The sequence below is a fragment of the Homo sapiens genome, chromosome 8 (assembly GCF_000001405.40).
Source record: "Homo sapiens chromosome 8, GRCh38.p14 Primary Assembly".
In the NCBI taxonomy this organism is placed as follows: Eukaryota; Metazoa; Chordata; class Mammalia; order Primates; family Hominidae; genus Homo; species Homo sapiens.
The window spans coordinates 68034660-68058223 of record NC_000008.11 but is presented as its reverse complement, the minus strand read 5'-3'; the positions used below and the strand labels follow the sequence as shown (position 1 = coordinate 68058223).

The 23564-nt window shown below is 36.9% G+C and overlaps 1 protein-coding gene across 4 annotated transcripts in view; it reads right to left on the bottom strand.

The window, feature by feature from the left end:
• PREX2 (phosphatidylinositol-3,4,5-trisphosphate dependent Rac exchange factor 2) overlaps nt 1–23564 on the bottom strand; it is a 284987-nt gene that overhangs the window by 178809 nt on the left and 82614 nt on the right. For all 4 annotated transcript variants that reach the window (NM_024870.4, XM_047422268.1, NM_025170.6 and 1 more), the window contains exons 7-10: nt 19932–20065; nt 13634–13737; nt 4978–5127; nt 2250–2394 (exon numbers count right to left, since the gene is read on the bottom strand). In NM_024870.4, coding sequence (NP_079146.2) covers nt 2250–2394; nt 4978–5127; nt 13634–13737; nt 19932–20065 — 533 coding nt within the window. The remainder of the gene's footprint in view (nt 1–2249; nt 2395–4977; nt 5128–13633; nt 13738–19931; nt 20066–23564) is intronic.

Below are 23564 nucleotides of genomic sequence, written 5' to 3'. Positions count from 1 at the left end.
GCTATAAATTGGAAATATTTTTAAGAGTGAGAGGTCGAGAATAAAGGAACCCAATGAGTGGCTTTATCATTGGGCCTACTCAGGGAATGAGGAAATTCCATCAACACTCTGCTAACGGACAAGGATCCACTCAGAAATGATCTCAAACTTGCGCTGTAAGCGGCAGTAGTGTGCTGTTATGGAAAAGGCCGCAGTAATCTAACATTTACTGAGTCTCTCCTACCTATCAGGTGCTCTGGGAGAAGCTTCATATAGCATCACAATGAACTTGCACTATTCCCATATGACACAGTGTAAGTGAAGGGTTAGCAAAACCTATTCTTCTTCAATAAGAACAAACTTGACCCTGGGCTAACTTTCTATAATAGCTATGCTCCCCTAGACACCTGAAGAAGGCAGGGTGTCAACTGCTAAACTAGGCAGCATTGCAATGGTAAAAATGACCCCTGGTGGCTAATTTGCATACCTATTAAAACCTACTGGGAAGCCATAACTTGAAGTCACTCTCTTGCAAATGGGCATATCCCAGTGAGGACCCTGAAAGTTATGCCCATGGGGTGGGTACAAGAGATACTGTCGTTTTGCTGCACAGGGCTTCTTTGCCAAGATAAACTCACATCTTCTCTTTCCCTTGCACAAGAGCTGCTACCAGCTAAGAGGTACCTACAAGCAACAGTATAGCTCACTGGCAGATGTGTAGCCTGGTGGGAGGATCACTCTTAGTGAAGAAGAAAGCCAGATGCTGCTCTGCAGGCAGAGGGTTTCCTGGCCTATAGATTTCTGAGTTGGGGGTTGGGGAGCGTATTCGCCCTTTTTCATACTGCTGTAAAGAACTTCCCTGAGACTGGGTGTATTAGTCCATTCCCACACTACTATAAATAAGTACCCACGACTGGGTAATTTATAAAGAAAAGAAGTTTAATTGATGCACAGTTCTGCATGGCTGGGAAAGCTCCAGGAAACTTACAATCATGGCAGAAGGGGATGCAGGCACACCTTACACGGCAGCAGGTGAGAGAAGGCGAGTGAAGGAGGAAGAGCCCCTTATAAAACCATCAGATGTCATGAGAATTCACTCACCATCATGAGACCAGCAAGGTGGAAGCCACCCCCATGATCCCATCACTTCCCACTAGTTGCCTCCCCTGACACGTGGGGATTACAATTTGGATTATAACTCAAGATGAGATTTGGGTGGGGACACAGCCAAACCATATGAGGGAGGCAGAGGTAGCCTATGATTATGTTGTGTGTTCCCATCGCTGGTTAAAAAGGCATCCCAGTGAGCACTGTAGGTAAACTCTACCATCATCTCCATGTTTTCAAAGCAAATGGAAACTTAGCTATCCCAAATCACACAACAAATTGGTGGTACTACTAGGAAGTGAATAGATAAGTTTGATTGCAGTCTAGACTGTAAACTATGACTCCAGTCTACTTTATAAACTTGGGCATTGGTATTCACTAACCATATGAAATTGTTAAGCTCCCTGATCCAGAGTTTCTGTATCTTTAAAAAAGTATAATGGTATTTAACTCCTACCTAAGTATGTATTCCAGCATTAGAAATAATGTATAGGAAGAAGCCAGCAGAGTCTGGCCTAAAAAAGAGCTACCTGAAGGCAGCTAACCTTCCTTCTGGCCCTGCACTAATTAAACCAGCCAGGGAATCCCACTTAATGTTGTCCAAAGGAACCAAACAACACTCAGTCACTCTGTTCTACTCCAAAAACCAAAGTGACCTCTCTGCCTATTGCTTGCTGCCTGTCTCTTCACATGACCCACATTTTCAGACTCTTTACCTACACCCTTTATCCTGAGCCCAGCTGCCTAAATTCTAAATTAACTGGTAGTTCAGACTGTCTCTTATCTTTCCTTTCTTTCTGATTCTGACTTTCAGGCCCATGTGTATACATGTCTGTGCCCAACCAGTCATCCTGTCCCCTGCAGGCAAACCTACCTGCCTGCCACTCCCTGCCTGGCCCCAACCTCACTTTCCCCCGGGATCATGACATATCAGAAATCTCAGAAGTCATGAATGAATGGACGGATGCCTTAAGTTTCCTGGTCATGATCCTGGCTCTCTGTCCATTCCTTCATCCTGCTACCGCCCAGGAAATGGCAACTGTAAAGAAGTTTTCAAAAGTGCCTAAGGGAATATTTTTAAAGGAAAACTAATTGAAGGAAAGTTAACAGGTGAGACAATGAGAATGTAAAAGAAAGTCATGCACCCAAACTCCCAACCCTACCTTCCAAGAAAGCATTTAGGGAACGTAGTCAGTTTTCTCTTTCGGTCTTTGATCAGATTTCCTTGTCTGCACATCATTTTATAAAGTTTCTCACCCTGTTCAGAGATCATGACCCAGGTATCTTGCTCCATTCCTAATTTTAAACCTATCAAAAATGAAAGAAAGGAGAGGTAACTGAAAATTCTCTTCATTCATTCATTCAGTTATGGCTTCATTAAGCAAGCATTTGTTGCAGGTCTACCATGTGCTGGGGGTTGTGGATACAGATCTCTGTATAATAGTGCCCTGGTGTTCAAGAAGCTCAGGGGCTAGGGAGACCTGCAAGGCAAGATCCCCAGGGTATATGTCACCTTTGTGCAAACTGTGCCCCAAAGGCATAAAGCTTTAGCCAGGGGAGTAAGAAGAGCAGCTGAGTCTCAGCTTCCATTGAGCCCTGGACCAGGCACCCTTGCTCAGAGTTAGATCCGCAGAACTGGACAGAGTAGCCCTAGAGACAGTTCTGGTAGAAAAAAAATAATGCAATATAATAGAGGCATACTCAGCCTACCTCACCTCTCCCTGAGAAATGTTAAGAAAGGTTTCACAGAAGGGACCTGTCTTGAATGCACAGGTGTGAATGGAGATTTCTAGAGAAAGCAGAGCTAACTCATTTGAAGCAACTTGGAGGCCCGGAGCCATGGGTTTTAAGAGAAAAGATAGGAGATGAGCTGGTAGGATAGCCAAGATCCTTGCTCAACCTGCAGTTTCAATTTATTTCATTCCTTAGGTATTGGGCATGCAGCTAAGTGTTTTAACCAGTGGGAGGAGAAAGGTAGGGTAGTGCAGGAAAGAAAGTTGTGTTGCTTTGGAAACAAAGCTCAGAGGACAGTGCGGGGAACAAACTGAAGAGGGGAAGATTTTAAAAGAGTGACACTGTTAGGAGAAACCTCAAAAGTTCAAACAAGTTCAACTCACTGCAAATAAGGGTAGGGCCATAGGGCAAAGAGGATGAAGTTGAGAAATAGTTAGGAGGCACTATTGATAAGATATTGGTTAAATGTGGGCATGGAAGAAAGAGAAGAAATCAGATGCCTTCCGGGCCTCTGATGAGAGTGACTGAATGGAAGCAGGGAGGTGTATTGGGCAAAGGCATCCAAGTAACCAGGAGTCCGGTGGGCACCAAGTATGCCTAGTGTGGACATTCAGGTGGGAGTCCAGGACTCAGGTGAAAACACGAGCATGCTCAGGGGAGAGGGCAAGGCTGGACATAAAGTTGAACAAATCGGCAGTGTAAAAGTGGGAGTTAATCTGATGGAATAGATAACCCAGGCAAGGAATCTAGTTAGAGAAAAACAGTGCCAAGCTAAAATCCTACGAACACTGGCACTTAATCAGGACTGATGACGAACTGTTGAAGGAGCAACATTGTATTATTTTTAGTCATCTAGCTGCAAAATTTCCTACCAGATTTTTATTTTTGACAATGCTGGAGCCATTATCATTTGTCTTTATTCATAAATAATCCCTTAAGACTGCAGTCTAATAAAGATAAATATAAAGATAAAGATCATAAGCAGTTTTAGAGAATGTGCTTCTTCTCGTTTGGGGGTTTTTATTTTGTTTTGTTTTTTTCTCTTGGGTGCTTAAGAAAAAGGTTCAATTTGATTGAAAGTTTGATTCACCTTTTAACTATTTGTTTGCTATTCGAATTGACTGCTACATTCAACAAAACTTAGTCAGTCATATATTCATAAACTTTGTTTTAAAATTTTCTATCTGGTTCTTCATCCAAGATCAACCAAAGGAGTATTTGAAAATGTTTTGGAAATTCTACAAGTATGTACCATGAATATTTCAATCAAGGTAGCAATGTTGCATATTCTTCAGGGGAAAACATCTGAAGATGGAAGAAAGAGTTCTTTGTGTTCTGAAATTTCATTACCAATGAGGTGTTTTATTCTTGGGTCTCCAGAAGTAATCAACAATGTCATGCTTCTTAATTAAGAAATCAATTGTTAATTAGTAGAAATACAAGCATTTCTATTTCTGAGCTGAATTATAGAAATATGCCTTTTTGCAGATAAACTTCACACAAGTGAATACAGCCAGGCCAAATTCCTTTTGCAAATTTTTCTAAAAGCATAAAACAAATTGGAGCTAGGCCTCCTCATATGAACAAGCAACTAATTGGGTTACATTATACTATATTCAAAGACCTAACAATTTTTAAAAGTTTGTATAAATCCAAAGTGCTTTAATCTATAATTAGGAAGCTAACATATTGGGTCTAAGAAATTTTAGTGTTCTGTTAAGTATACTGAGAACAATTGGAGGCTTTACAACACTGCATTATGTTATTGAAGCTTGTCACTTAAAGAAAAATTTGGCAATGCTGCTTTAGAAATAGCAAGAATAAAATGCAAAGAAAATTGAACAAATTTTCTATTTAAAAAAATTATTTAAAAGACACTACCAGCCATAACATAATTATTTTGCTAACTATATAAGTATTACATAACAATTTTGTAAGTATCAAATAAGTCTTTTAGTATGAGGCTCACGTCACATAGTATTAGGTTGGTGGAGAAGTAATTGCTTTCAATGTCAAAACTGCAATAACTTTTGCACCAACCTAATAAATCAAGTGACCATCATATACCTTTCCATTTTCTCATGTTTTCCCATTATCTGCTCCTATGCTAAGTTAGAGTCTTCACAAAGTGTAACAGCGCCCAATTCATACACCCACCTTTCCGCCGTTCTCTTTCTTTCAAAATAGCTTCAAACCATTCATGCTTCTCTTCAGGTGTTTTTGCCATACAAACAAACCATTTATTTTTTGCTGTGTTATGTATCTTCCATCCATTAACAACAATGTGTCCACTGCTATGGAAATCAGCTGTAAATTAATGGGTAAAGGCAAATGAACAAAATGTAATACACAATATTATTATATCCACACTATCATTCAATACACAAAAGTTCCAAAACCACTGAATTGTTCAACATCTCTTTGCTTTACATATGTATATTGAAAAACATAAACATTTAAAAACTTTAAGAATGCTTTCATATTGGATGCTGTCAGTGCTCAATAATGGACATTTCTAGCTCAGAGTGTTAATACATTACATGAAACTAAACACTACAAACTAATTAACACTTACATGCTCTATGCACAAAAATATTGTCAAAGTTTCTAAAGCAATAAAAGAATAACATGCAAGGTGTTTTCTTCTCAAACATTCAAGATGTCTTATTTATTTTATCTTTCTAATGTTTCTTTGAAATAGCATTCTAGGTTTCAGAGACAGTCTATGCCCCATGGAAAAATCTTCTATTAGTTAATGAACTGCACACTAAGGATTGACCAATGGAACACACAAAGAGTGCAATTACCTAAAATTGCAATAAATGGAAACATACAAATGCCAAAGCATTATCATCGTAGATTGTCAAGACATACACTCTTTAAAGCCACTTCATTCCATTTAAGTCACATAAATAGAAACTTATAAAAAAATTTTTGAAGATAAATTGACATTTAATTGTCTTTTTTGATACCTCACTATAATTTTAGGTAAACTGTCATGCTGGGTTTGAAAATGTCAACAGCAAACCCTATACAGTAGCTGTCTGCCTAACAGCGGGTAGAGAATAGTGACATAACTTGCAAACGACCTTTACTGGCATGACAGTCCCTGCAAAGCAAAGATCCCAAGATGGAAAAACCTACGACAGAGGCCTGAGTCAGCACCTGTACCAATTAAAGTGACCCTTTTCATGTGTCTCTCCTGAAAGTCATTCAGCAGCAAAGGCCAGTGTTGAGGAGGTAAGCCACAAGAAAGTTAAAGGTGGTTTAGAAAATGACTTTGTGGCACTTTGCTTGTTTTGTTCTTTTTTTTCTCAGATGATCTATTTTATTAAGTTTTTGAGTAGAAACAGATGTGCTTGGCACTCATTCTCCCAAAATCTGGTTTCCATAGTCTTTTTCGTTAGCTCCAAAATCACTACACATTATATGAGGTCAGACTAATAATACCACAAATCCATTATCAAATGATGCTGTTCAGTTGTGGAGTCTTTAAAGCTTCCAGATTACTTTTGAGTCAAAATAGAATGACATTAGACATTAGTCTGTATTTTATATAGGTGCCATAATCCATGAATAATCAAAAATGACTTCTGATAATATAGAGATTTAAACTGGCCAATACTTCCCTCCCAAAAAATTACAAGCAATTTTTAAAAAGATTTTTTGTACTTTTATTACCTTTATGTGTTTAATTCATGTTCCCATCCTACACAAAGTAAGAGAACTTCATAATTCATGTCAGATAAGTATTCATGGGCATTAGTAGGAAAATAAGAATATTACTTCATAATTACAGTGCAATCCCTCCTTAATATCTATAAAAATAACCAACTGAGAAATTACAATAAACTGGGGGAAAAAATTCAGAAATTCTCAAATTCTACACGTTTAAAACTCTTCCCCCAACCCTAACCACTTGTAACCTAACAAGACCAGAGTCACATACAAGCCCAAGCTTTTTTTCAGGCTGTCTTCTCTCTGTTCAAGTCAGGCCATGATTAGCTAAGTGAACCTTGCACCTGCAGCTTAAAAGATCCCACATGGCCACTCATGTTATTATACCTTTAACCATTACTCTGGATAAAGAAAACCAGAGTAGCCAAATGTAGCCTACAGTCATAAACACTGGACTTACTCTAAAATGAACACAGTGTAGCCCTCCCACAGAGCACAGGGAACACAAGTTCATGTGCCAAAATCATTCAAGTCATGCTCCTGCCACCGCATAAGTGTACCCCGGGGCCAGCCATCTCTATAACAGGGAGTTTTCCTTCCTTTCTTTCCTGGATTGAGTCTGGTCACTGGCCTCTTCACACCCTGCTGGCCCTCCCTCAAACAGGCCACTTCTTAGCTCAAAAGCCACCCATTGGGTGTCTCACCACTGAATCAAGTCAAAACTACATGTAGACTTCGCTTTAAAGATTCTTCCCAAAATAACTCAACTCTGTCTAAACACTCGTTCTATTTTCCACTATGTTCTAATATGTTCCCACCATGCTTTTCTTGTCTGCTGCTCTCCTGGCTGTCCTGTGAATACTTATATATTCCCCAGACTGAGTTTCTCATCAAGCTACCCCACTCTCCTCTCTGCCTCACAGATTCTTACTCCTCTTGAAAGTGGACCCATCCCCTCCATGAAGCCTGGCCTGACCAATTGAGCCTGTGCATACAAATCTCTTTTGGAAAGCACATAATTCAACTCAGAATCAGATAAGTGAGCATGTGATTGATCACATGTGGCTATTGTTTCAATGTACAGAAACCAAGATCATTAGCTGACTGTCAAATCTACTAATATGGTTTGGGTCTGTGTTCCTGCACAAATCTCATGTCAAATTGTAATCCCCAAAGTTGGAGGTGGAGCCTGGTGGGAGGAGATTGGATAACGGGGAAGAATTTCCCCTTTGGTGCTGTTCTCATGATAGTGAGTGAGTTATCGTGAGATCTGGTTGTTTAAAATGTATAGAACCTCCCCCACCCCTCTCTCATGCTCCGGCCAGGAAGACATGCCAGTTCTCCTTCACCTTCCACCATGATTTTAAGTATCCTGGGGCCTCCCCAGCCACATGAACTAAACAGCCCACAGAACCGTCATCCAGTTAAACCTCTTTTCTTTATAAATTACCCAGTCTCGGGTAGTGATAGCAGTGCAAGAATGGACTAATACCTCCACTGTCTCAAATAACAGCTTAATTGCTGCACTAGTATTTTAAAAGAACAGCTTGTGTCAAATAATTTTAAATGAAGAAATAATGTTCCCTTTTAAAGTTTATATGCTAGCTAATTTCTATCACACCAATTTAAAAATAATAAGTAATTATAAACATATATATATATACACACATACATAAACACACATATACAATTGAATATACATACCACAGGCCTCAAAATGTAGTATACATACTTCATAATAGCATCAAAATTACCAAATATTATACAAAATAAGCAATTGCTTCTCATTTTTTTCAAAAGATACAGTGACATATAATAGCTTCACAATTTTAATCATAGCACATTGTTCAATATCTTCATATATCAAAATAAAAATTAAACTTATCCCTAAAGAACACCCTCACTAAAGCCATTAAAAAGTCCAACACTGCTTTGTGCTTAGTCAGAATTTTGTTTAAAAAATTTAAATGGAAAAATAATTTATTAAATGGCAAACGCAGGAATTTCCAAGTTTCAATGGATCTAAAATGTTAATTTTATAGGAAGAATAGGTTTTAAATTGCCATTCTTTAAATGTGGAATATCCAAATTCAACAGTCTTTAGTCACTGATTTCTTCCAAAAACAGAAAAATCCAAGGGACAGACCTGAACAAGTCACTAATTACTTGAAGCTATACAGTTTGCAAATTCCTTGCTCTTATTTCAGTACAGTTTCATATAATGAGATGGGATTTTTCCAAAACTGATACACTGTAAATCTCAGTGGATGTGCCAGTATTCTTTCAATAAATTTGCATTTCAATAAGATGGAAAATATCCAAGTATTATAAACAGGCTAAGAAACAGAAGAAATTGCCAGACTATATTACTGAAAACATCAAGAAACTGATGTCTAAATAATGTATTCAATCCTTGTCCTGGAGATCAACACTGTGGATGCATAAATTTCTAAGGGAAACTTTAAAACTTATAATTTCTTCATAAATATTTAACATTGAGAAAAATTTTTTGAATAAATCTTTGATTTTTATCAAATAATAGAAGAAAAATTTCCAGCATCCCAAATAGCATATGATATTATTTTTGGCAAAAAAAAAAAAAAAAAAAGATTCTAATTGACTTTTCCTTTTAAAAATCTAAAAAGTAGTTCATCCCTTGACCTTTCTGAACTCCCAAATATACTCCCTTAAATTAAAAACATTGAAAATGTATTAGAAAAAAAAACTATTACATTCTTATATTCTTTTCAACATTGTTAAGCCATTGTTACGTTTTAATTAAGAACATACTCAATCCAGCTTATGCAACAATACTACAGTTGTGAAAGTAACTGGTTTATCTAGTCAGTCGACTGGTATGCAACAATAAATGCTATTTTTGGTGATAAGGCATGAAGATAAAGATGACGATCATTGAGATAATACAGGTACTTGATTTAAGTGAAAAAGGATACAAAATTATAAAGTTCACATTTTCAAGCATTTTTAAATCTATGCATTAAAAGGAAAATTGCAGGAAATAGTTTTTATATAGTCTTATGTGTTTGCCTTTGTATGACATTATTATCTACTGTTTTTTGCCTTTCTATTTTTCTGCAATGTCCAAAGTTTCTTTAATAAGCACAATTTAATTTTATAAAAAAAATGTATTCAACATATTAGAATAGTTTCAAATATTTATATATAAAGGGAGAGCTAAATTTTTTTAATTGACTTACTTTTAAAGAACACCTTAAGAATAAAAATTTTTCATCTTATCCAGTTCGAATTTGACGAATATATTGAAATCTATGGTATGCCCAACACTGAACTACAGACCACATTTTCTAAAGGTCAACATTCTTGCCCTCTGTCCTACCATAGAAATAAACTAGTGCATAAGAGAGAATACTAATGATCTGATACTACTTTCCGAATGGCTTTCCAGTCATGCACTATAAAAATTACCATGAAAATTAATTCTAGGAAGTTCAATAGCTTTCCAACTATTGCCTTTAAGCTGAATTTTCTTTATAGCATCATGATCAAACTAGTAGACCCAGAAAGAATCTTCAAAGAATAACTTAGATTCACTGAGAGTTGAAATCTGAAGAATGGTTGAATGGAAATTTGGCCACAAATGCAAAGGTCAACATCTGCCTTGAATATAGGAATTAATTAATAACATGGACAGACTTAAATAAATATATATACAAATTTTTGCACTTTTGCACATCATACCATCATTTAAATTTCTTTCTATACTAAGATATAACTATGATATAAACCAAGTCATTAAGTATTATGAATAAAATTACAATAATATTATTTATCAAAAGATTTAAGATGTTTACATGTTGGCTGAAAACTTTTGTCTCATCCCAAGTGCAATTATTTTTTCTGCAAGTTTTGAGCTATATCAATGAAATTAGTCATCTGATAGAGCTTCTTCCTTAGAAAACTATTTTATCATACATAGAGTATAGAAAAATACTCAGGATTTGCATAATTCAAATGGAAGAAAAACTTTTCCATTCCATTTTCCATCACAAGTTCTAAGTGCCAGGCCCAGTGTTGCATGCCTGTAGTCCCACCTACTGAGGCTGAGTTGAGAGAATCATGGGTTCAAGTCCAGCCTAGGCAAGATAATGAGACTCCTCACCACCACCCCATCTCAATTTAAAAAAAGGAAAAAGTTCTAAGCATGCTTAAAAAAATACATATATATATATGTATGTGTATATATATATATATATATATATATATATATATATATAAATTCATCCATTTTATTATTTATAACTAAATATGGTATAGGTGCTTGTTTTTTCTTTTGGCAATGACAGATGAGCCTGATAGTATCTGTTTATCCCTCATTTAACTTATCCAGGGCCAAGTATGGGGAGTACTTGGCATAGGGACATTAATCAGCTCTGCTGAGATCCATCTGCATCAGAGCTTCATGTGTAAAGTAAAAAATATAGCAGACTTAAAACCTGAGCTCATCAAAAAGAAATGAAGATGCTGTGCTGGAAATGACCAAGGAAACAACAAAGGAAGAAAGTTCATGCAGCACCCAGATCATTTCTGGGTGCAACCAAACCCAACCTCCATACGCTGATGCCTTGTTCCTTCACTGCTCTCCACTTGGTCCTTCTCTATGTCACAAAACATGTACATGGAAGCCCAGCAAACTTAACTCTAGCTCCAGCTCTGTCCTGGTCAGCTTGGTAAACATGGACAAGTTAGTTCTTAAACCTGGCCTCATTTCGATCATCTGAAATGCTATTGGGGTACATTAATTGATCACCAAGATCCTATCCTTCTTCAAAATTTCTATTATTCAATTCCCCAGGAACCTAGTGGATATAGCCATGAGAAAACTAAATTGTACTTGCAGGAAACTAGGGTATGGTATCCAGTTGCAGGCTGAAAATTCTTTAAGTGACCTTGTAGTGACCAGGTACAGCCAAATTCCTGCTACATGCTGCTTATATACATTCAAGAAAAAGTAAAGAGGGGGAAAGCCCCAGTTGAATAATACAAGATGTAATAAATGTTTTCATCTTACTTTAAAGAAAATCAAGCCTGCGAATTTGTGTCAAGAGGTTCCATAGGACAACTAATTTATGACAACTAAATATCCTGCAATTTTGTGTCTTTCTTCTAATTCATACACAACAAGGTCTTAGGCCCTGCCTTCCACAATGCTTTTGCCCTCAGGAACTGGGGACCTGTAGGCTGGAATCTTACTAGCATCAACAAAACTTTCAGGTCGAATTGAATCCAAGAACCATCTGTGCAATTCAAGTCACCCTTCATAGGATCTCATTCCCTTACAATCTGGCCCAGATACACGGGAAGACAGCATTTTATGGCCATGCCTCCAAAGGTCCTGGGCTCTTACATCTCTTTATCTAGTTCTCCAGCTGCCCAAAAGCACAGTAATCATAGTAATCACTATCACAACTCAGTCAGATCACCAATGCAGATGGCACTAATAGTGGCACTGACATCACGGGGAGTAAAGGGAGAAAGTGGGACATAAGGGGTGGATATTCAATCTCTCAGGAAATAAGGCCAGGGACTCTATGCCCATGGGAAAGCCAAAAATGGAAGAAAATAAAGGAAGCGCCTAAGCAACAGTGGAGAGATGGTCCCATTATGGGTAATCAGGTCCAATAAAGAACAGAGTAGAAGTTTTTAGTGTTCTTCTTTTACTATCTGACTTCCTCCCAACTCAGGTTCAAAGTTGGGCATTTGGGTAGTCTCTTGAACATGCAGGTTACAGAGGCAAGACAGCTCTTAGCATGTTAGATAACATTTCTAAATGTCACTATATAGTCTTCTTAGAAAGCACAGAATAAATTACTGCTACCTTGTAAAAAATAATGTGTACATCCTGCTATGGAAAGATAGCCGACTAGGTCCCACATGTTAGCACGGGAGTATCTGCAACTGCATTACAGTCTGTAGCATAGAAAGGGATTTGAAATGAGATATCTACCTCTGCCAACTGTCTGGCAACTCCACACCACCCCACAGTTAGCCACTGAGGAACCTCTCTACTGGATGAACACAATAGCATGGCTCCAAAGCTGAGTGCTCAGTCTCAGGCACCACCTGAGTTTTGCTCATTGCATTCCTTTTTCCCTTACCTACAGCAATCACAGTTCATTATTTTAAGTACCTGACAATTTATTCGGATGCTAACAATGGTATTGAGAAATTGCCTACAGGTGAGCATTTGAAATTCTGTGCTTCTGACAGATTATAAATATTCTTCTCCCCTCTGGGACCCCAGAGTGACAATGAAGGTATGTGAGAGGTGGAGGGAGCTGATCTGTGTCCCAATCCCACATGTATAACGAATATCACTAAAATTTAGCAACAGTTAGTATACTGCATTTCATCTTGTCTTTTCTCGTAGAAGCATATTTTTTAAATTCTAACTAAAATCATTGGGGAAAAATGGAATTCACTTTACTAAGTATTTATTTTAGAGACAACTTTTTTTTTTCAAATAGAAAGTGCAATTTATTTTAACTTTACTTAATGTTTGTGACTAATCATGATTTCATAAATTAGCTTATTAAATCCCACACTTTCAAATCTATGAAGCAAAAAGTTACTACCTTTGAGTAATAAGATATTTAAAACAAGAACTTAAAATTACACAAACCACCTCCATTCACAATTTGCTTACAAGAAAATTGACAACCTGTCTATATGAAAAACAACTACATAGCTAAGACAAATCTATAGTTTGCTATATTTTACAGTGAATATATTATAGGAACAAAACATCACTGATATGCTTATAAAACAGTATAACTAAAGAAAATTCATTCATTAACTCTTTTCTGCACAGTGCTCTCTGTTTCAGTCCCGTGAATGCCATGGGACACTACTCGGCTATTTCTCTGTATCTGTGTTTCATGTTAGTGTGTTTTGGCTATATATAATTTTCCACTTTCACAGTAGTCCTCCCCTCCCTTATCTCACCTTTCTCTTTTCTCTACCCAACCACTTTACCTAACAAAGTATTTCTAAGCTCTAATACATGGCAGGTGAATTATCCAAGTGAGAAATCTGTCTTACAAAGGAGTTTTCTATTTACTATTGGCATCCCATTTAAAATCTACAAATCACTTACCGGTGCCATCATCCACATTCTCCACTTCCATCACCTCCGTGTTGATCCGGCCACGAAAAAGGTACCGATGTCCATCTGTAGATGCCTTGCTGTTCTTCAACCGTCTTAAGATGGAATTAAATCACAAAGACTTTGTTACTAAACAATGTAAAACAATGTCAAAACAATATATTTTAGGCAATTCTTTGAAAAAAGACACCAATTCAATCGACAATATCAAACATTAGACTCCTGGAGATCTTTCCATTTGTCCTCCCATTCATAACAGCACTGGTTGCTTTAATGAAGTATGCAACTTGCATACTAATTTTTAAAAATAAATTCAAGTTTTAAGCTAAGGATAGTACACAGGTGGGAGAGTGAGTATGTGCTTTTGCTCAATATAAGACATTAGCGGTGCCCAATCAGACTCTGACAGACACTAACAACTGGCCATTTTAAAATTTCATTTGAGTTTCTTTCACCTTCATGACTCATTTTTCAGTAACTAACTGGTAATTTCCAGTTATTACTTATGATCCCTCTTCAAAGAATTGGCTATGCTGGAGGTTCTTAAGCTCAGTGATATCCAGCTATAAAAATATTTCTCCTATCATATTTTTATAATATAATCACTGTATACTTGTTGAACAAGTCTCTTAATACCTTTGCAATCCTTCATGAAGGCCTTATTTATTTCTAAAATACCCAAAACATTTCAAAACTGTGTGTATATTACATCTAGTGCCAGCTTTTAATCTTAAAAAGTATGTAACACAAAGTCAAAAATCCAGCTTTACAGATGACCATTTCTAACAATGAATTAGGAAGTCATATATGTTTGTATTTGAATCATTAAGCACACAGGAAAAATATTTTTTCAATGTTTTTCTTTCATTAAATTAAACAGGAAAAATTCTAAGAAATGATTCAAGGGGATTAAAAAATACCTAGTCACTCAAGAGATTTCCATTGACCTAGACTATTCAATGGGACTCAGTGACAAAATCTGGCTAATAATTTTATATAGTCAAATAATGATTAATGTGTTGTGTTATGTAGACACACCTAGCACAAGTTAAGATGTAGCTGTACACAAACTGCAACGCCCCCTCTTCCTATCCCGTGCAGTTAGATACCTGCCCTGGTGTGGATAGGGTAGGCCAGGGACATATCTTCAGATGCTATCACACTCTCTGGGCTCCTTCCTTGGAAAAAAATTGCATATTCCTGACTTAGCTGTCCTCAAGCCTCATCCAAACTTAGTAGTCCTTCATCTCTATAAAGAAAACTAAGCAAATCGATTCATTAGTCTGACTGGACAGTTTGTCAGCCCCAGACCTTCATCACCTTGCACTCCCCATGTTCATTTTGAAAGCAACCTCTAAATGTTCTTCATTAGTAAGCATAAATCAATGCTATAAATTAGGAATTCATCCCAGGTAGCTATGAAAATTGGCCTCACAGGAGGTTGACTATAGAGAGGAATGCAGATCAGACTAATATGCAGGTAACTAATATGCAGGTATTATTTCCAGCTGGAAAATAATATCATGGTGTTTTGAAAAATAGAATTTCTTGTAAGTTGGTACATCTAACTTAAAACCAATCATATTGAAAAGACTTAATATCCTTAACAGTTTTAGTCACAGGCAAAATAATCATGGATTATATATAAGAATCCATCACTTAGTTCTATTTTCAATATATCAATTTTTTATGATCTTACTGTGAACTCTGTATGGGTTTTGTATATTTCTCTTAGGCTGCAGATATTAATATTCAACACAAAATTCCAGTAAGTGTTTGATCAATTCTATAATTCTTAGCTCAGATAGATTTTGATCTCTTCAGAAAATGACTCTACTGAAGCTTAAAGACTGAAAAGCCTATAGTTTGAAAATAATTATGCTGCATATTATAATATTGCAAATTTAAATGTATTGATTCTATTATTTAATTCCTAATTATGTGTTGCAATGGTCACCAGGACACATATACAAGAATGTATACAATAGTAGAAAAATTCAGGACAACCCTAAAGCCCATTGATGAGGATGAATAATTAAATTGTGATACATTCAACTAATGAAATATTATGCAGCAGGTAAAATGAATAAATTTTTGCTACACACAAAATGGATATATATTTTTAGAAACTATGTTGAATACAAATTATAAATTGCAAGAAACTAAAAACGCTATGATACTATTTTTTAAAACTCCTAAACAAGCCAAACTAAGCAATATCATGTTATACGTATCAAATACTACATCATAACTTTTTAAAAAACTAGTTTCTCCTGAGATTAATAATATTAGAAATATCCAGAGCAAGGATGCCTAATCTAGCACTCTGTTATTTAAAGAATGTAATTCTAGAATTAAATTCATCAAGTCTCTAGTTCATATAATTACAACATTATGGAAGTTTGTAAAAGGCTCCCTTTACTCATATTTTCTGAAAGATCTCTATATCTTAGAAAGCATATGCTGAGGTGAAGTTCATAAAGGAGTGAAGTATTCTAAGTGAAGGGAACAGATGGAGAAGCAGCTTCTCCAGTCCTGGAAGGGAATGGACATGTTGAACTATTTTGTTATTTCCATTTCTAACCACTCTGTATTTGATCCACATAATACATTCATTAAGGGCATTTGCTAAATAGCAGGATTTTAATTTTGTTAAACTTTTCCTGTGTTTAATGTGCAATTCCAGTCATAAGACCATATAATATCATGATTTGTCCACTAATGTTAATTTTGCAAAAGATTTGGGTCTTGATGGCAGGCATAGATAAAGATGGGATCAATTTTAATGAAAAAAGATTTCATTCTCAAATGGGGACCTTTAATAATTGCACTAAAACACCTTGATTCACATTACAGTTTCTTAACGAGTAACACACAAGTAAAATAACAACCTCTCCTACATCTTCCAAAAGCCAATTTCTATCAATCTCAATCTTGCTATCAAACACAGAGAACCTAGAAGAGCATAATAAAAGATTCATTTTCACATGTGGTAAAAAGGAATTTTAAAAAACTCATTAGAATAGAGATGTCAACAATTTAATTATTTTTTGGCTCTAATCCTAATCTGTTCCCTCTCATGAAGATACATGTTGTATTCCTATGTTTTCTCGGCTTATATAATTGCATTTTTGAATTAGTGTCTCTTACTAGGGAATTCTAATACTACAATCCACATGGCAGAATTACCATATATCATCATCATAGCTACCAAATGTTTGCTAACTTGCTCTGGGCATCTTGATAACTGATTTAAGAAGACTCATTATAAGAGACGAAGAATAACTCTCCCTTAAGTCTGTCTTATAAATCAATCGGTTTTGTGTCTCTAATTCTCACTCTACCAGAAAATATTTGACTATAGTTTTCTAAATGCTGAACCTGGAATAAACAGTCATTTAAAATCCTGTACTTTCAACTACTGCTTTACCTTTAAATTGAATGAACCCATTGGTACCATTTCACTAAAACAAATGTGTCCTATATATGGTTAGGGTGAAGTACATAAAGGCTCAGGAAACTTCTCAATTAAATGTCACTCTACTATTTTGCTTAAAATCAACATGCAAAAAAATTTTCCCAAGAGTTTAAGGAAACATCCCATAAAGTAAGAACATTCTCAAGAAAAAAGTATATTCATGCTTTAAAACAAATAGTATTATGTCAATAACATTAAACACAAATTATTTACATTAATGATGGCTAAGCTCTACAGGGGACTAGTTTGTGTTCCATTCACTCATTCATTGATTCTGTGTTTCTTAGCTGTCTATCACAGGTCTGCTCCAATTTCCAGAGAAATTGCATTGAAGGAGCAGTAAGGCCCCTGTTCTCATGAACCTTGCAGTCTAATCTAGTAAAGGTGGCAGGAAGTAAACAAACAAATAATGAAAGAAATAGCAAGTGACAAGTGCTTTCCCGATATTGATAGTGACTGGGAGGCCACATTAGATGGGATGGTCAGGGAAGACACTACAGAGGGAGTGATTTTTAAGTGAGATCTGAAAGCCACAGAGAATCTGGCCATGGAAATCTCAAAGGACAGGGCACACTGGGAAGGGAAACAGCCAGTACAAAGGCCCTGAGAAGGGAGCACATGTGGCATAATCAAGGGATGGGAGAAAGAGAAGGCTAAAGGAAGGAGGGAGGTATTGTGTTTGGAGAAATGGGATGTGATGATGTGAGAGGCAGGCAGGAGCTGGACCAGGCAGAATTTTGTAAACTAGGGTAAGGAGTGTGAATTTTATTCTAGGTGGGGCCAAGCACGGTGGCTCACGCCTATAGTCCCAGCACTTTGGGAGGCTGAGATGGGAGGATTCTTGTGGCCCAGAGTTCAAAACCAGCCTGGGAAATACAGTGAGACCTTGTCTGTACTGAAAAACAAAATCAACTGCATGTGGCAGCATGCGCCTATAGTGCCAATTACTTGGGAGCCTGAGGCAGGAAAATTGCTTGAGCCCAGAAGTTCAAGGTTGTAGAGAGCTATGATCATACCATTGCACTCTATCCTGCCTGGTCAACAGAGCAAGACCCTGTCTCAAAACAAAACAAACAAACAAAAAGAACTTTATTCTAGGAAGCCAATGAGGGCTTTGAGCAAGGTGACAACATGATCTGATTTGTTTTATAAAAGGTGCTCTGGTTTCTGTGGAGAGCATAAATTGTGGAGGCATAAGAAAAGATATGGTGGGTCAGTTAGGAGACAACTGTTGTCACCAAAGAGGGATCCTGGTGGCCTGGAGCAGAGTAGTAATGATGATGGAGAGATGTGGAGAGATGTTTGTAAGTTTTCAATGCAGATGCAGGAAGATTTTCTAATGGATTGGATGTGGGATGTTGAGGGAAAAACAGGAACCAAGGCTAACTCGTAATTTTTGGAATTGAGAAAACAATAGAAAGGGAAAGCTGGGAGAGGAGTGACTTTAGGAAGGGGAACCCAGAATCCCATTTCTTCCATGCTGTGGTTGAGACTCCTCATGGCCATCACAACAGGCAGGATGTAGGAGTCCAGAATGTTGGGCTAAGGATAGAGATTTGAGAGCAACTGACACAGATGTGGGACATGAGTGATGGGACTGGATAAAATCAGCTGGGAAGAGTCTATGAATATGAAGAGGGAAAACGAGTCAAATGCAGAGCCCCACAGCACTCCAATATCCAGCCAAGAGAGTGGGGTATAATAACATTAAAGAGAAGAGAGTGTTTTGGGAAGGTAGGATTGCTCAGCTAAGTTACAGGCTGCTACAAAAACAAACAAAACCTTAAAGAGCAGAAAAGTGACCACTGGAGTAAGAAGCACAGTAGTGCTTCTTATGGAGATTCTGATAGGAGTAGCTCAGTGGAGGAGAGTGAACAAAGATCTTGTTGAATGCTGCTCATGCCAGAATAGCAAGTGAGAAAGTAGAAAAAGTGACAACATAAAACTCCTGCAAGAAAGTCTGCTATGAAGGGTGACAGTGTGACACAAGATAAAGGACTTTTAAAATTTGAGATAAGAGATCTTCGACAATGTTTGGAGTCAGAATAACTGAAGTGACAATACCAGAGGAATACAGCTAGGAGGATAGAGGATGATATTCAGAGTAGAATGCCTGAAATGGAGATTTCAATTTTATGACTGTTGGTATTGACAAGGTAAAAGTATGGCCCTAGGACAGGAGACTCAGGTGTAATGGCAGAAAGACTCATTGCAGGTGAAGAGAAAGTGGGCTTTCAGGTCCAAAATTCTGGATAGATCATCCATGTGAGTTTTGAACACCCCCAAAATGGCAACAGGAGTAAGGTAGAAAGAAAATGATGCAAGAGCTAGAGAAATCACTAAATTCATGTGTGACAGTGAGATATTACGTGTTCTATAAAGGGGAGATGAGGGAAAGGTAGTGGAGAGGAAAGACTCATGGCATGAACTTCACATGTGCTGGGATTCTTGAAGGAAGAGGGGGAAATGATTGGGAAACAAGATTAGGAAGCAAAGAAGACACACCACCCTCTCCTCCAGGGCCTGAGATATGTGGGTTAGGAACAAACCGCACCTCTCCTCAAGAGGGCTCTGAGGACCCAGCATCATCAGATGACAGTGACATTTCAGTTTAGGTTTTACAAGAAGGTGAAGTGAACAACCAGTGAGCAGACTGAATATATGTGAAGAAATGCACTGATGGATGATGGGCTCTGGGAAGCACAGAGAGAAAGGTAGAAACTGTGAGCTGGATAGATGAGTTCTGGGAAGCACAGAGGGAAAGGTAGAAACTGTGACCACTTCTGAAGTGTGTCCTGCTTAGGATCTTACCTGTGTTTTCTTTTGCAGTACACCAAAAGATTATCGAAAAGAAAAAACACCCGTTCTTGAATATTTCCAGAAGAAATTTTCAGTAAGACTCCACACATTAGCATTTCAGTGCAGGTGTCAGTGATGTTGGACCCCTAAGTCAGGAGAAATGCAATTAATGTCTGCTTACTTGGTTGACACTTCTGTAAATAATTATTTTTCGACTTACAATTATGGTTGTTTTTATTTTAAGAAGCAAGCTATGCACAGGCTAAAGTGCAAGCAGTAGAGATAGTTATACACTGATTGGAGGGCCCCTAACCCCCCAGTTTCCCCCGATCAGTCTGAGCAGACAGAACCACTGTTAAGAGATTCTGTGTCTCCTTCCAGGTGTGTTGTGTACATACACAAGCGTATAGAATACATGTCACCTATGTCATGTTGAAAGGAGATGACTTCAAATTAATTCATAATGTTAACAATTATAATTTCTCTTTCTTTGTTCTCTTTTTCCTCAGTATGTGGGAAAAACAGCCTCCACAGGCACAAAGTACATGAAATTGTCTAAATTTTTAGCAGGTCTCAATTTATATATCCACCCCTAGGATGGAGAAAAGAAAAGAAATAAAAAGAGAAAAATTATTTAAAGGGAGCAACTTTCCACAGAGCCTTTCACCCTATTTATTAGAAGTTGGCAAAGGCACTCTAGCTAATTAAATAAGTGTTTATAGCATGCCCATCAAGATTATACAACTAGTGACAAAGGCAATTCTTAACACAAGCACTGGCCACTAGAACTGAAGAGGAGCCACAAGATGGGAGGAGCCTGGGCCCTGAATCATCAACAGAGGAAAGCTGCCCCCTGAGTTGGACACGAGTATCGGACTGTGGTGGGAGATGCACAGAAATGTCTATTTTGAGCCATTATAAATATTATAGTCTATTTGTTTTTACAACCTAATCTATCATAACTAATGCACTGAGTTGGACCAAAAAAAGAAAAAAATGAAAAAGGACGTTTTCCATAAAGATCTATATGTGTGCTCTGCAAGAGACTTTCAGTTTCAATTATATCAAGATTCTTTAAATCTGGAGTAAATTTCTAATTTTTGTTTAACTCAATGCTTCTAGTTTTAATGTTTCATATTTAAAATTTAGAACATTAATTTTAAATTTCATATTTCCACAATAATCACTGATAATAGTTTCTCTGGTCAATTGTAAAAATTTAAATTAAAATGACAACTAACACCTACAACGACAACTCAAACTTCCAAAATGGGGAATTATTCAGAAAGTTTTTTTATATTAATTTGATTATCTTTGTATTGCAAATTTTAGACATTTTCCTTTATTATTTCTTCTTTTTTTTTGAAATGGAGTTTCACTCTTCTTGCCCAGCCTGGAGTGCAATGGCACGATATTGGCTCGCCACAACCTCCGCCTCCTGGAAAGCGATTCTCCTGCCTCAGCCTCCCGAGTAGCTAGGATTACAGGCATGCCACCACGCCCAGCTAATTTTATATTTTTAGAAGAGACGGGGTTTCTCCATGTCGGTCAGGCAGGTCTCAAACTCCCGACCTCAGGTGATCCACCCACCTCAGCCTCCCAAAGTGCTGGGATTACAGGCATAAGCCACCACACCTGGCTGTTCCTTTATTATTTCTTTTTATCCTGAAAGTGGATATACAAATGAAGATTTGGAGAAAAAAAAAATTACAGAATTTCATGTACTTTATCATGTGTTCATTAAGCAAAGTGGTATTAATTTATAGCAATTTCACAAAATGTACAGAATAGCCCTCCCTTAGACCATTTCTTATCATGACCCATATAAGCCAACCCTGGATGATAAGTTGTTGCATTATGAAAGGGTTACTGCAGATATCATCTTAATTTTCACATTAAATAAATCACCCGAGTACCTCAAATTAACATACACAGATATTAGTAGATGCATTCTTAACAAAACATTTCCTGACTTCTTGATAATTATCTTTCTTAATAAATGCAAGGAGTATTTTGTATAAAATTGAGCTAACTATTATGACATCGTTATCTTACAACTGATTGAAAGTGCTGCTACAATCAATCAAACCGCTAGGTCTTTTTCCTCCATCCTGTTCGTTCGTTTGACTTTTTGAATCACCTGTCCAAATTGATACAAGAAACTCTCAAGCCCCTTGCTAATATACAGACCTATTCTATCTAAGGCATTATTATAAGTCCCCATCAGCTCCTCACTCCTGATCAAAAAAGAGTACGATTGACTGACCTCTTTAAGGTCAACATTTCTTTTCATAAGCAACCCAAACCATCAGTTTAGTCAATTATTAATCAAATTTTTAGTAAACAAGGACAAGCACAACCACTGACAGCTTCTAGAATTCATGGTTATGCCGCAAAGTGTATCTCACAATATACATATAACTTCGGTCAGATTGTGTTTTACTGAATCTGACTGAAATGCTTCTGTCACTGAGATGATGTACCTTTAACACTTAAAGCAGGCTTCAAGAATTAGTGCAATATCACCTTTCACCATCTTCTACCACAGTAATCTACCATCATGGCATGAAATATCTTCCTTGAGTAATTAAATAATTCCCTAAGAATTGTTAATGTACTAAAGGATTCTATGTCAAAATGTGCAGATTTGTCTAAAAATATTATCCTAACACAGCAGCTTACAGCATTTTCCTTTATACTGCATTTATCTTTTAAACTCTGAAGAACACCCACCATGCTGCTGATTTCCCATGATTTAAATCTGTGCATTATCTCTAGGATAATGGCAGGCAAAAATCATTAAGAACTGTTTAACCACATATATGTATGAACTGACTGCAGAGAGAAATTACAATCTTGGAAAAGATGAAAGATGACAGGAGGCCTTGAAACATCCCCACTCGTATACAATGCATCAGCAGACAAAGATCTAACCGAGCTAGATGCATTCACAGTGGAAGAAAAGAAAATTGACAAGACTGACAACTAGAATGTGCTTCAAAGAGAATAGTTTTGATATCAAAGGAGTCTCTTAAAAAATTGATGAAGCATTTGAACATTCTTACAAAGATAAATCTTTAAAAAATACTATGAAAACAAACATAAGATAAAGAATATTATATTGTCTTATCATAAAATGTTTGACCCTCCCCAAAAAAGACTCAGGATTTGATTTGCTCTTTTTGAGGTTAAAACTATTAACTAAAATTATAATCTGATTTCTGTGACATACAAAACAAATAACATAAATTTTCATTTTACTAAGATAAAGTCCCATCAAACCTTCCCCCCTTCCACTTCATTGAAATTTTGCGCCTCTTTTAAACTGGATTCATTTTCAGTGGTCTTTTTCCAGAACCACTTATCCTCAAATAACAAAGACTATATGACTATATATAAATCAATTCTATCTCAAGGTAGAAGATGAATTTGTATCTGCCAAATCACCTCGTACAGAGGACAAAAAGAAACAAGTCCCAGCACTAAGCTCTGGAAGACTCACATCCATGAAATAACAAGAAACATGACTTGAAGTCAATACACTGTCAGGCACAAACTCAATCAAATGGAAGCAGCAAACAGATTCCAAAACCAACAAGAAGTAATTTTTAAATGGTCCCGTAGCACTGTATTTTTCCATGTAAA